The following is a 14,244-nucleotide window of genomic DNA, read 5'->3' on the forward strand; positions in this document are numbered from 1 at the left end:
TTCTGTTTCAGTACCGGGCCATTAGGGAAACCTGAACAGAAAGGGAAAGTAAACTTTCCTATGGCCCGGCCTTTCTTATTCCTCACCTTCTAAAAGTGACATAACTGCTGGAATTCCTCTAGAATAAAAGTAAGATGACTGAAAAGTTGTAGGAAAATTGCATGCATAATTTACATTACTTGCACCTTGAGCAAGCAATGGAGTTGTCATTTGTGTAGATGGCCTCACAAATGATATTCAGATAGATTGTTTGGGGAATGACTTCTGATTACTGAAACAATTTACTTCATCTTATTCATTTCTTCTGATTGTGAGATACTGTGGTAAGAATACAGCAGAGGGATGGCCGGGCAGGGTGGCTCACGCCTGTAATCCCAGCACTCTGGGAGGCTGAGGCGGGCAGATCACGAGGTCAGGAGATCGAGACCATCTTGACTAACACGGTGAAACCCCGTCTTTACTAAAAAATACAAAAAATTAGCCGGACATGGTGGCGGGCGCCTGTAGTCCCAGCTACTCGGGAGGCTGAGGCAGGAGAATGGCATGAACCCAGGACATGGAGCTTGCAGTGAGCCGAGATGTCACCACTGCATTCCAGCCTGGGCGACACAGTGAGACTCCGTCTCACAAAAAAAAAAAAAAAAAAAGAATATAGCAGAGGGTTAAATGTGAAGAGCCTACTATGTAAAAAAAATTTGCATAAAGGCTTGAATTATTGCCCACATAAATGTGCAGAAATTTCTCCCCATCTACTAAATAAACAAAAAAGGAAAAGATGCTTAAAGCATCTATGCTATTGAGGGAGAAAATGGGAACTAAATTGAGGAACAACTTCCCTCTTCAAGATTTATGATAAAGGGGAGAAAAAGAAATAACCTACATATTCAATTGTCACCTATAGGACAATATATTTCTATGGGAAAGAAATAGCTTACATAGTAAAAAATTATATTAGAAATTTTAAATGAGAAATAATGCTTTTATAATAGAAGAAATAATGCTTTAGGACAAAATTAAAGTAAAGAATGTTAACATCAGAAAAAACATCCTAACTATTAGCGAGGTAGGCACTGGAAGAGGTCACTGTAAGAAATTGGGTATTAAAGACATTGCTGAATTTTTGCTTTGAAATCTTTAAGAACAAAATGTAAATATCTTCCTTCAATTGTTATATTTCTTAACCCCTTGGAAGTTCCTACGTAATTCTTTAAAATTCTACATGTTTTAGGCAACTTCATAAATGATGAAATAGTGAAAGTAAAATTAAAATCAGTGTAGTTCAGATTTTTCAAAATTCAAAACAATTTCTAAATATTAGAAGTTACCTTAAGAAAAAAGGTTCATTTCTAATGAGGTGAAAAAGTAGCACAAAATGGAGTCAGAGGTGAGCTTCCTCCAACTCAGGAGAACGTCGGCAATTAAGCGATAACTTGAAACACGTCAGCTGGAGTTGGAGGAGTGAAGAGGAAAGATTCACCATAAATCCATTAGGTAGAACAAACAGGTCTTAGTAAACAAGTGGATGCAAAGTCATGGGCAAGGGCGATTTGAGGCGGACTGGCTTCTAGCCTCGTCTTTCCATTCTTCGCTGTTCTAACTTCTTTTTGCCTACCCACAGTAGGCCGAGAGTCAGTGCGGGGCAGGTGAGTCCTTTGATAAAGGAGTGGGGAAGAAATGAGTTGGATGTTAAACATTTTGAGTGTGGAATCCTTGACAGAAACTGAGTTGGAGAGGTTCAGAGCTGGGAATGCAGATTTAGGGATCCCCTAGGGCATAACTGAACCCTCTAGCTGAAGTGGGTTTAATGGGTGATAACAGCCAGGAAGGGCCTAGGTGCAAAGAAAGAAGAGAGGGAACATCAATAGTTGAGAAGTGAGAAAAGATTTGAAGCCATTAAATGACACTGAGAAAGACTGTCAGAAATAAAGAAAAATAGGGGATGGTGACTGTGTCACATACAGACTGCCTGTGGGCCAAGCAGATATGGCCTGGGCAAAGCTGACAAACGTGGTGCCGAACAGCTTTTTTGTAAACTTTGACAGTACTAAGCAGATCCCTCTGATGAGAGACTGTAAGGAAAAAAGGCAAAAACACATATACTTCAGTGCTTCTAAACCTTGTGCATCTCTCAGACTTCTTTTGGGAACTTTAAGAATACATATTATTAGACTCCATCTCTGGAGATTTTGATTTGGTAAATGAGATTCCTTATCTCATGTCATTTCTTCAATTTTGACAATACTTGAAAATGATTCTTACCTTTTTTTTTTTTTTTTTTTTTTTTACATTTTGTATTATCTTCCAACTAGTCTGCAAACATCTTGATGGCAAAGACTGATTCCTCTCCATTTATATTCCCCACAGCACGTAGCAGAGTGCCCAAGAAAAATATTAGGTGCTCAGTAATATTCACTAATATGTGGGAGTTAACTGATCATGCTATCGCTCTTCAAGATAAAATCCTCAAGGTTGATCAGTAAGAATTTTGAATGTAGAGATTTAGACACATACTTGAATAAAGATTTCAGTATCTTTTACTAACAAAACAAACAACTTTTAATGCTAAAATAAAATCTGAAATGACCAGTCGGAGAAAAAGGACTGTTTTCCTGACATAAAGCCATGTCAGCGTTATTTTTGGAGGATGTTGATTTAACCTGGAGATGGTTAAATGTGTCAGTCTGAAGGTGTATGTGTGTTCGTATGATGAGAAAAAAGAAACATAATTATAGATGTCTCTTGATAGCCTATTCATTTACTATGCTATTTTGGAAACAGTATGTTTTTAAATTGGTTTCTAGTGTTTTTGGATGGGAGTTCCGCTGTACAGGAACCTGGAGCTTTGCCCCCTGTAGATTTTCTCCATTGGAAATCAATAAAGTGTAATTGAATTACAGTGGGTGAATCCACAAGGTGTCAATTTCTGGCTCTCAGGTTGAGGAACTCTCCTTCCTCAAGCAACCACATCCACCAGTGCTGAGTTCCTGACCCCAGTTTGTAGACAGCAGTGCTGTACTGACGAACACCTGTGTACATTGTTAAATAGCAAAATAACTACTGTAGTGAAATCACGTTTAATTTTAGGAATTGAAGAAAAACTCACCATATTTCTATTTTAGCACACAGGATGTGGCCTACTTCTTTAAAATGTCAAGCTTAGAGACACACATATTTTATTTAAAGAATACGGAAACACCCGTTTTCTTCTTTGACTGAGTCTGGGATATAGCCCTTTTTTAATCAGGAAAAAAAGAAGTTGACATGTTTTTGGAATGGTCATACTAATTGCGTTGACATAGTGTATCAGGGAGCTTTCAAAGATGTTATCTCATCTGATCATTATAACCATCCAATTAGGTAGATCAAGCAAGTCTGATCATTCCAGTATTTCAGATAAAACTGAAGCTCAGAAAAGTTCAGATCAAGTGTAAACCATGTCAAATGTTTTAGGTTTTTTTTTTTTTCTTACTAATGTTGGGGCTCAGGAAACAATATCCCAAAGTATGGCATGTTGGCATGCTGAGTACTTTGGAATAAAGGATCTCAGAAGACCTCAGAAGCAGCCTCAGAACCAGGGCCTCTCTGACCTTCTCTTCCCCTCCTGTCTCTTGCTCCTCATTCTCTCCAGAAGTAAGTCATAGAAATCAGAATTTCTCTTCCTCCAAGCAGGTCATAGAAACCAGAACCCCTATTAGCCAAAGCTAGTCATAAAAACTAGTTATCACTCTAACTTTCCCCACCTTTCTGTCTAGGGGTTGGCCATAAAGACATTTCTCTGACTTAACCTCTTCCGATAGTAGGTCATAAGACCCTGATTCCGAAGGGTGCTGCCCTATACCCAGGAGGAAGAAATGCTATAACAGAGGCCAAAAAAAATCTGGACAGGCTTTGCTGGGTTTCTCCACTCAGTCTATTAGCGTTAGATCATACTCTTTTTGTCCAATCACATTTCTACATGGATGTCTATTCTTCATGAAGACTAAGCATAAAAATGGATAGTTTTCTCTGTATATTTGGGTCTTTCTGATGGCTGCTGTGTCAAGTAAAGCTTTGAATAAATAAATCTGTTATGCTTTTCTCTTGTTAACCTGTCTTTTGTTACAGGAGTGTTGGCTGTGACCCTAAGAAGGTTGAGGAAAGGTATAATCTTTCCATCTCTACACCCTTAAATAATGCAATAGCTTAGAACTATTTTTTTGCATCATTCTAAAGGTTCTTGTTAGGCGTGCATGGTGCCTGGCTAAGATTAACAGGCCTTTCTTCATGCGTATATGTGAAGTTATTAGGGGATAAATGTTTATATTACCCTGTCCTTATAACTATATGTTCACTAAACAAAATGAACAAAATTCAAACGAAACAATAAAGTTATCACCCTAGAGCTTTGTTATAACATAATTTGAAGCTATCATTTAACTTCAAAAACCCAAACAAAATGAAACTAATTAAATATTTTAAAATGGGAGAAAAATCTACATCCAAGGAATGCTTTTAATTTTGTTCTGCTTCAAGTCAGTTTGTTTAAAAGTCAATTAGATTTATGCAAGCCAGGATTTGCAAACAAAATGGAGATTGGATCATTTTATTTTAGAAACCATTTTTATTGGTTTTTACAGCCCAATAGTACAAAACTGTGTAAGTATTCTATTTTAATTTTTACAAATTTAGGAAAGTATTGAATTGAAAAGCTGTTAAAAGCTTTGTAAAATGAATTGTCAATTTTGCCATCATGTCAGAGGTGCTGCCTTTGATGCCACTCACTTTTCTGCTCTGGGGATATGTGTAACATTTTTTTTATTTTGGAACTCTGTTATTTGTTTCCTTTTTTGGGATTTAAAACTATGTCATTTACTCACATAATTGCTTCTCTCACGGTTATATCTTTACTCCTTGCTTTTGAGAAAGCCATACTATTTATTTCTCCTCTTTCCTGTCTTCTAGGTGTATCATCTAACTTATTTGAGCTAAGTGTCCTTATCTATAAAGTGAAAAGTTGGACAAGATATTCTTTATGATCTCTTTTGATTTTAAAATGTTATGCAATTTTAGAGAAAAGCTGAAGGGTCACCCAATATGGTGTGACACCAAAAGACAAATATGAGGACAGTCACTTTTTCACTCTCCGCAAACTCTGCCTGGACACTTCCTTGGTGAGACTTCATACACTAGACAAGAACACACTATGAATGTGAGACAGAGGGAGACAGAGGAATGAAGGAGAGAGATAGTGAAGCAGGCTGGGAGAGAAACAGAGAGGAGGTGTCTACTGGACATTTATGGATTGCATGTGTATTAGAGGTGGTAATCAACCAGGATTATCACCCCCCACAACCCCTGATAGATTCTTCCCTCTCTGTTAAAAGGAGCTCCATGTTTCTAGTGCTCAGAAAAAAAAAACAAAAAAACCTTAGTATCATCCTTGCCTCCTCTCTGTCTCTCACTCCTCGCAGCAAATCCTGCCAGCTGTACCTTCAAAATAGATCAGCATCTAACCCCTTTTCACTACTCCCACACCCAGCAGGCGGGTCCAAGCTACTCTCATGTGTAATATGGATTATAGCAGTACCCTAACTGTTCTCCTTGCTTCTGCCCTTCTTAGCTAGACTAGTGAATCTGTTAAAACCTAAGTCCAATCCTATGGGTCCTTTTTAATCCCAAAGAGTTCCTATTTCATTCAAAATATAAGCCAATGTCATAAAAGTGACATATGAGGCCTTTCAACATTTGCTGGCCACTTCTAAGCCCCCACCTCTCTGAACTAGTACCTTTTCTCTTGTTCACTGGACTCTGGCCACAAGGGCTTCCTGACAGCCCTTCTAAAACAGCAAGCAGAGCCCACTATAGGGCCTTTGTGTTTGACGGCCCTCTGCCTAGAACGGTCTTCTCTTAGGTATCTCTATGGCTACCTTCCTTGTTCTTTACCTTCTCCCTCCTCTCCTGACACACATACACTTTCTAGTTCTCAGGAAGCTGCTTTATTTTTCTTTAGTGCTTATCAGTATCTGACATACTGCTTACTACTACGTATTTCAATTATTCATCTTTTTTGTTGTGTGCCACCCCACTAGAATGGAAGCCTAATGAGGCAGAGATTTGAGTTGCTTCCGCTCACTTCTGTATCTTTGGTGCCTAAAACAGTGCCTGGTACATAATCTGCCCCCAATAAGTATTGGTTGAAATGAATTGAATTGTTTCTTTCTTTCCTTTTTTTGTTTTTAGACAGAGTCTCTCTCTATTGCCAAGCTGGAGTGTAGTGGCGCGATCTCGGCTCACTGCAACCTCCGACTCTGGTTTAAGCGATTTTCCTGCCTCAGCCTCCCGAGTAGCTGGGATTACAGGTGTGCACCACCAGGCCCAGCTAATTTTTATATTTTTAGTAGAGAGGGGGTTTCACCATGTTGGCCAGGCTGGTCTCGATCTCCTGACCTCATGATCTGCCCGCCTTGGCCTCCCAAAGTGCTGGGATTACAGGCGTGAGCCATTGCGCCTGGCCTCGAACTGTTTCTAACTACAAGATGGAAAGGAAACCTTGAACTGTGTCTTGGGGAGAAGGTAGGACTGTGGATGGGGATGAGAAGTATGGAGGCCATTTTTTGGAACAGGGAATAAGCCACTTGGGAATAAAGATCTGCTTTGGGAGTATCTCATTAAGTTATCTCAGGGTACACATGAGAAAATAGAGTCACAAGAGCAGTTAAAGTCACAAAGACAGCAAGAGCACAGGGTTAGAACCCTGTTCTTTAAACTCTCCTATTTCAGGATTCTTGTAAATGACACAAAATATTTAAATTTCGAGTTTAGCCAGGATGAAATACAAGCCAGATAAAAAAAGTATTTTTCTGTTCTACCCCCGTTACTGCCAAAACCATCAAGTTAATATTAGCCAGCAAAAAGCTAATGCTGAATAATATCACTTATATAGTTATACTCCCTTAGTAAGAATTAGCTTTGTGTAAGCATAAAAACAGATTTTAAACTCTCACATTACAAATAAATCATCAGAAAGTGCCTAGAAGTATAGAAGATGAAAGAATGGCGGAGTTTTAACATTTGATGGAGCCAGGTGATGGTTATATAGAGTTCATCATATGATTTTGTTAATTTTTCATTTTGACATTTTCTAGCATAGAAGTTTAATTATTAAAAATAAACTGAGAACAAATCCCATAGTTTGATTTAGTCTTATTTTGTTCCTCAAGAAATGATTATAACATAGTCAGCTACCCTTCTCTTCATTCTCTGCTTCTTAATTTCCTCTTCACTCCAGAATCCTGTTCTACTGTGTGTGATGCCAAGGCACAGACATGCCCTGACAGATCCTGGATGAGCTTGTGCAAAGCAGTGATCAATTTTAGAATGGTTCTAGGTGACACCAAATGGACTTCTGCTTCTTGGGGTCCAATCACGTGCTTTGGGAAAGGAAAGACCTGCATATTCCCTTCCCTTCTCCAAGTTAGTGGCAAAATAGTAATAAAAAAATGTATGTATGTGGGACAATCTTTTTTATATACTGAAAAAGAATTTCTACTCTGTGAATTGTCTGTAACTGATGTATTTTTGTAGCCTTACCTATTCCAGATTCCCAGCTTTCCATCTTTTATGAGAACAATCAAAATGCATTTTCATCTTTCCCATAGCTTTCAGGTTACTCCATCCAACATTTCCATTTTATTTGGTCTTTTTATCCTTCATATCCTAACTTTAGGGTTTTCCAGATGTAGATAATTTCACAAATTCTCTTCATTTTGCCTTTGACTGCCCTTTTTCTCTAATTCTGGATCTCTTCATTTTTTTTTAAAATTTGAATTATGGGCACCTATCTTTGCTTATCAAAAAAAAAAAGCACTGAGTATAATTTAGTTTAACGTATATGACTCACAGATGTGCAATCCAGTTTAGATTTCTGTAGTTTAGAACTGAACTAGGAAAGTACTACACCTCACCCTTTTTTATTCAGGGATTCTCTTTTCCCTTAGGGAATACCTCCCACTAATAACTCCGTTTAAGTCCTATTTCCTCTTACTGTCTGAATATCATTGAGATGTTCCTTGAAACATCTTTATATGATGTTACTCCAATGATTTAAGTTTTAAAGACCTTCCCATTACAGCTGACATAAAGTACAACTCCTTCCTCCCTGGAGACCATGTAAGGTGTGGCTCGTCTGCCTCTGTACCCCTACGAGAGGCCCGCTCCTTCTCCTGGGTCGCTGTCCAGATCTCATTGGTCTCCTCTCACTTTCTCCTGGCATCCTGTCTAGGGTAGATTTCCCTGCACATTCTTCTTCTCAACCCTTTGTGGGTTTCCTTACTAATACTAATAACAGTTCACTTTACATATTTTATTCATTTTATGTGCTTCCATTTTTAAAAAATATATTCATTGCATTGTAAGCTACTGAAGGACAAAAATCTCCTCTTTGTTCCTGTTCTCTCCTCTCCCTAAGATTTAGAATTAAAAAAACCAAGATAAAATGGTTATGAGGATCATTTATTTGAGCTACCCAATCTCACAAACATATATTTGATTAATCCTTTGCTCATCTTAGGGAAACAAGAAATCTTTCAAGTTTGGTTAATAGCAGAATCCATTAAATTCAACTTCAATTATCTAAGTAGCCAATAATTTCCTCTTACTGGTGCATGCTTTCTCAGCAAAGATGTAAAATCCACAGACGATGAATGATATTGCCTGCCATGATGATTTCTTACCCTTCAAACATTTTGCATATTCTTTTAGGACTAAAGAGTAATTCTTTCCAGCTCTTCTCATTTTTATTTTTTTCTTTATTTTTCAAAATTCATTTTTATTTGTAAGTTTGATGGATACATAATAGGTATATATATTTATGAGATATTTTGATAAAGCATACAATGTGTAATAATGACATCAAGGTAAATGTGGTATCTATTGCCTCAAGTATTTATCATTTCCTAGTGTTACAAATATTCCAATTATACTCTTAGTAATTGTTAAATGGACAATAAATTATTATTGACTGTAGTCACCTTGTTGTGCTATCACGTACTACATCTTATTCATTCTATCTCTAGCTCTTTTTAGTTAGCATATAAAATCCACCTGTGGTCTTTTACAAATATCAAAACATGGGTACTGAGGTCATATGCAGGATCCATTTTGAAATAAAATGAAAATAGTTATAAGTAGGTTCCATTTGAGAGGCAGAAATGGACACCCAAATTGCTTGTCAATTGCAAACAAAATATACTTAAGCATATAAGTTCTGTTTACACCTAGATAAAGCAATAGAGTGATCAACTGATAGATCAATATACAGATCAATTGATTGTTAGATAATTTAGGATAAATTATATATTTTTCATGAAATAATATTTTCACTTGTCCAATAAAATAAAACAAATGTATATTATCACTTTAGGAAATTAGAAACTCTTTGCTAGGTGGTATAATATAAAATATTATAGTTATACATAATTATATGTATGAGTCTATCATACACATAGGCATGAAAGTGGCTGTCTTACTTGGCAATATCTGAGATATGATATGATGCCTTGCTCTTTTAAAAAATACCAGGTCCATTATTTATTTATTTTATTAGAATTTTATTAGAATCCATCCTTTAACAAAGCAAAAGGGGTTCATAAAAGTGAAAGAAGATTTCTGTTGAAATTTAGATCACTTTGCCTTCCTGGAGTTCAGATTTTTTGGTTTTTGGAGACAGAGTCTCCCTTTGTTGCCCAGGCTGGAGTGCAGTGTTGGGATCTTGGCTCACTGCAAACTCTGCCTCCCAGGTTCAAGTGATTCTCATGCCTCAGCCTCTCAAATAGCTTGGATTACAGGCGCCCACCACCATGCCCAGCTAATTTTTGTATTTTTAGTAGACACAGGGTTTCACCATGTTTAGCAGGCTGGTTTAGAACTCCTGACCTCAGGTGATCCACCTGCCTGGGTCTCCCAAAGTGCTGGGATTAGAGGTGTGAGCCACCGTGCCCGGCCCTGTCATCATATTTAATATTAAGATTAATAACAATACAAGCAATAACAAAGCTTACTCTGAGTACTCACTATACACTTACTATGCCAGGTACTATGTACGTAAGTGTCATAGGTAAAAATTATGATGCATACTCACAGAAAAAGAAATTAATCTTTGAGGAATAAAGTGACTTGCCCAAGGTCCCACAGCTAGCACAGTATCTGAGCTTGGATTTAATTCCTAGATGTCTGACTCCAAATAATACAGTCAAACAGTCTATAAAACAAGAAGATTAAATGAAATAAACTCAGAAAAACACAGCTGTGGTTTTCTAAATGTTAATCAACTATTATACTGGAAAGCAAAAATGGTATGTTGAGAAAAACAACAGGTTTGAGTAGAATGCTATAGTAAAGGCCTCTGGAGAGGAGTCCTCCGTAATAGAAAAATGGGCAAAGAACAGGAAACTGGTAACTCACATTGAAGAAATACTCATAACCACAAAAAGAAAAAGAGAGAGAGAAAAGTTTAACTTAACTAATAAAGAAATGCAAATCAAAACAAGATGACATTTTCTGCTTTGAAATTGGAAAAGTTTTTTGAGGAGGTATAATTTTTTTCCCTTATATTGGAGAAATAGTTGAGAAACAGGCATTATTATTAATGGTATAATTTAGCAAACTTTTCTGTAAGATAAGTTAGAATTACGAATGAAAAGATTATCTTCTCTTCTGGAAGTTTATTTTAAGAAAACAGAGTTGGGCAAAACTGTTTATTTGAGGATATCACTACAGCATTACTTTTAATGGCTAACCCTGAGAAACAATCTTTTTTTTTTTTTTTTTTGAGATGAACTCTTGCTCTGTTGCCCAGGCTAGAGTGCAGTGGCATGATCTCGGCTCACTGCAGCCTCGGCCTCCCGGGATCAAGGGTTCAAGTGATTCTCCTGCCTCAGCCTCCCGAGTAGCTGGGATTACAGGCACACGCCACCACGCCTGGCTAATTTTTGTGTTTTTAGTAGAGACAGGGTTTCACCATATTGGACAGGCTGGTCTCGAACTCCTGACCTCAAGTGATCCACCAGTGTCAGGCTCCCAAAATGCTGGGATTACAGACATGAGCCATTGTGCCGGGTCAAGAAACAATCTTGATGTGCAAACACAGTAGGGGGTAGGTCAAATTATTATGGAGAACCCTCAAAGTAGAAAATTACATAGTTATAAAATTATGTTTTAGAATTTAGAAAATGATCTTTATTTTTAAAAATATGCATAGGATGCTATACACTAAATTTTCACAGTGCTTATCACTTCACGGACAGATTTTGGCTGAATTTCTTTATATATGGTAAAATTAGTCATTAGGAATAAGCCTAGATTCACTATATTACCTAGTAAGAGACATTAGAGAAGAAACATGGGGGAGTTGAACAAGTTTGGCCTAAGTTCAAACGCAGACTTTATCCCTGCTGGCTGTGTAACTTTCAGTGATTTATTTATAAAACTGTCATAGTGTTACAGCACGGAGGAAGACACGTAAAGCCTTTACACAATAAACACTTAGGAAATGTTTGTTGTCCACGTCATATTTCCAGTTTACAGTTTTAAAATAATGTGAAAATGCAATTTTATTTTGTACCACTCATATGAACAACACCTTATATAATTATTTAAAGCCGCACTTTTTATTAGCAAGTGAGCTATACTACAATAGCACCGCTATAGAGATTTATCAAAAGATGATAAAAGAGGCAAGGAACCTCAGGCTGGAAATAAGTGTGAGAAGCCGATCATGGTTACAGAGTGTTGAGAGGAGCATATCCTACACACCCAGCCTGTCAATTTGAACTCCCTATAATCAAGTATAAAATCATTCCAATAAGTACAGATTGAGAGTTCCTTCTTCTATTATTTTATGGTTTATTTGCTTTTTATATTTCTCACACACATTATTTAAATAACCCAAACCACAAATATTGATATTCTACTGTGGATTGCACAAGTGTAAGTGGTTAACTGAAAAAAAGAAGTAATTCATATAGTGAAAGAGCAATAAAAAATACATCAACCCAATACAACCACCCTGTAGGTCTGTAGGCATGAATAACAAAGCAGACTAAATGAGAACATTCTCGGCATGCAGTGTGCTGTTTACATTCTTACTAAGAAAATGTGCCTGAGTTAGAATTTATACTTCAAAACAGATTCTCAAATAATATTTTGATGTTAATACGTCAGCACACCGATATGACTGGCTCCATGTCTTTCAGGCACATGCTACATTTCCCAATTTCCTTTGAATTTAGGGGTACCCATGTTATTTGTTTTGGCTAAATGTATAAGCGTGGAAGTAAAACATCACTTCTGGGAGGCAGTTTTAAGAGTTGGTGTGCAATTTGCACATCCTTTCTTTTTCCCTTTGCCACTGTATCCAGGAAAGCTCTAGATGGTGGCAGCTCTATCATCCTGAATCCCAGAGAGAGGGGTGTAGAGGAGAGACTCCAACTGATGTTTGAGAGATATGCACTGTGAAGGAAAACAAAACCTCACTGATTTAAAGCAATGGCCCTTGACTGGAGGCAATTTTCCTTCCCAAAAGAATATTTGGCAATATCTAGAAACATTTTTTGGTTTTTACAACTTCCGCAGGGGTTGCACCTATGGCATCTAGTGGGTAATTGCCAGAAATGCTGCTAAACATCTGACAATACACCAGACAGCCTCCCACAACAGAGTTATCCAATCCAAAATGTTAGCGCAAAGTCTGAGAAATTCTGTCAATCATGGAGATAGAATAATTTTTGTTGGTACAGCATCATCTAGGATACTCTGACTGATAGATGGTTCAATATTTGGAAATCTGTTAATATAATCTTACCATAATGATGGGGCAAAGGAGAAAAAATGTGATCTTCTCAATAGATTTAGAAAACTCATGTGAGAAAAATACAATATCTATTTGTTAGTAAAAAGGAAATAATATCTATTTTCTTAATATCATATTTGAATACCATAAAACATATTTCTCAGAACAAAAGTAAAAATATCTGATTAGTATTTGGTCAGTTCAAAGAGTCTGTAAAGCCAAAAACTGGAAACAGTACAGTTGCTTAGTTGGTGATCGTATATCTCATGTACTTCTTGCTTCAGAAAATATGTGCTCATATCCATTGATAGAATCCATGAAGATCTCTTGGGGACTCCTGTCTCATGTAGGTATTTAAACAAAATATGCTGTATCTTCTGTGCAGTTTTAAATTAGGGTTTTTTGAAAGATGAATTTATTACAACAATTGTGACCTATAAAGTGACTAGATGGTACTTGCATCTGAAAAATCACTAAGTACTGGATAATAAAGTAGTCTAAATTATGGTGGCCTCCAGTTTATAACTAGTGAGTTACACACTTATATCCTTTTTATCCCTTTGGTAATAATAATAACTTAAAATTACAACTGACTAAGAACTGGGACCAGTGAGAACTCACACACTTTGCTGTTCCAGTGACAGCACTGCCTGGTTAATCCTGAGATGCGGGCTCAGCTGAGTTTGTTGGTAGTTGCATTCTAAGAATCCCATGAATTCCCAGGAGCTGAGCAATGAAACTCTAACTGAAATGGGGGAGCAAGAGATGCTTAAGAAAGAGGAATTACGATGGCAACTGCCCTTCTCCACATAATTTACCATTCACAGACTTGTGTGGTTATAAAATTGTCAATGGAAATTTTTGAGACAGATAACATAAATTTTGGAAGCAGTTCAAATGTCTTTGGTAAATGAAAAATGCCTGTTTGCCATAGGAAGATTTACCAGGTAAAGAGATGGTTTCTTCAGCTTAGATTTTACTGATTTTATTTTGAGAAGCCTTTACTTGTCCTGTTCATGCAAAAGAAAAAAAAAAAAACAATCCAAATTCTAAAGGAATATTTAAATGTTGTTTTTCACGAAAATTTGATTTTATACACTTGAAAATTATAAACATCATATATTTGTATCTTATTTTCTCTACTGATCAATTGGAGTGTTTTATGGAATAAAATAAGTTTTCTGGAAATGAAATTCCAATTATGAACACTGAAACTATTGGAAATGAGGAGTTAACTTATGTTGGCTACACGCATAACCAAGATCAGGGGCAAATTGAAGGAAAGATGCATCCTATTTTCACTATTTATTCCTAATGAAAAAAAAATTGATTTTACAGACGAGGTCTCACTATGTTTGCCAGGCTGACCTTGAACTCTTGGGCTCAAGCGATTCTTCTATCACAGAGCAGCTGAGATT

General features: G+C 36.9%; 1 protein-coding gene across 12 annotated transcripts in view, besides 1 other annotated feature; it reads right to left on the bottom strand.

Moving 5' to 3' along the window:
• Positions 1-14,244, bottom strand: part of MAGI2 (membrane associated guanylate kinase, WW and PDZ domain containing 2) — a 1,436,613-nt gene that overhangs the window by 763,698 nt on the left and 658,671 nt on the right. The window lies entirely within an intron of this gene.
• Positions 6,689-7,888: an enhancer, noted in NCBI's record as "MED14-independent group 3 enhancer chr7:78416757-78417956 (GRCh37/hg19 assembly coordinates)". NCBI's record gives its function as "activates an origin of replication core promoter dependent on BRD2, BRD4, P300/CBP and CDK7 cofactors, and independent of MED14, by STARR-seq in HCT116 cells {active_cell/tissue: HCT116}" and the evidence as "EXISTENCE:reporter gene assay evidence [ECO:0000049][PMID:35650434]".

The sequence above is a fragment of the Homo sapiens genome, chromosome 7 (genome assembly GCF_000001405.40).
Source record: "Homo sapiens chromosome 7, GRCh38.p14 Primary Assembly".
In the NCBI taxonomy this organism is placed as follows: Eukaryota; Metazoa; Chordata; class Mammalia; order Primates; family Hominidae; genus Homo; species Homo sapiens.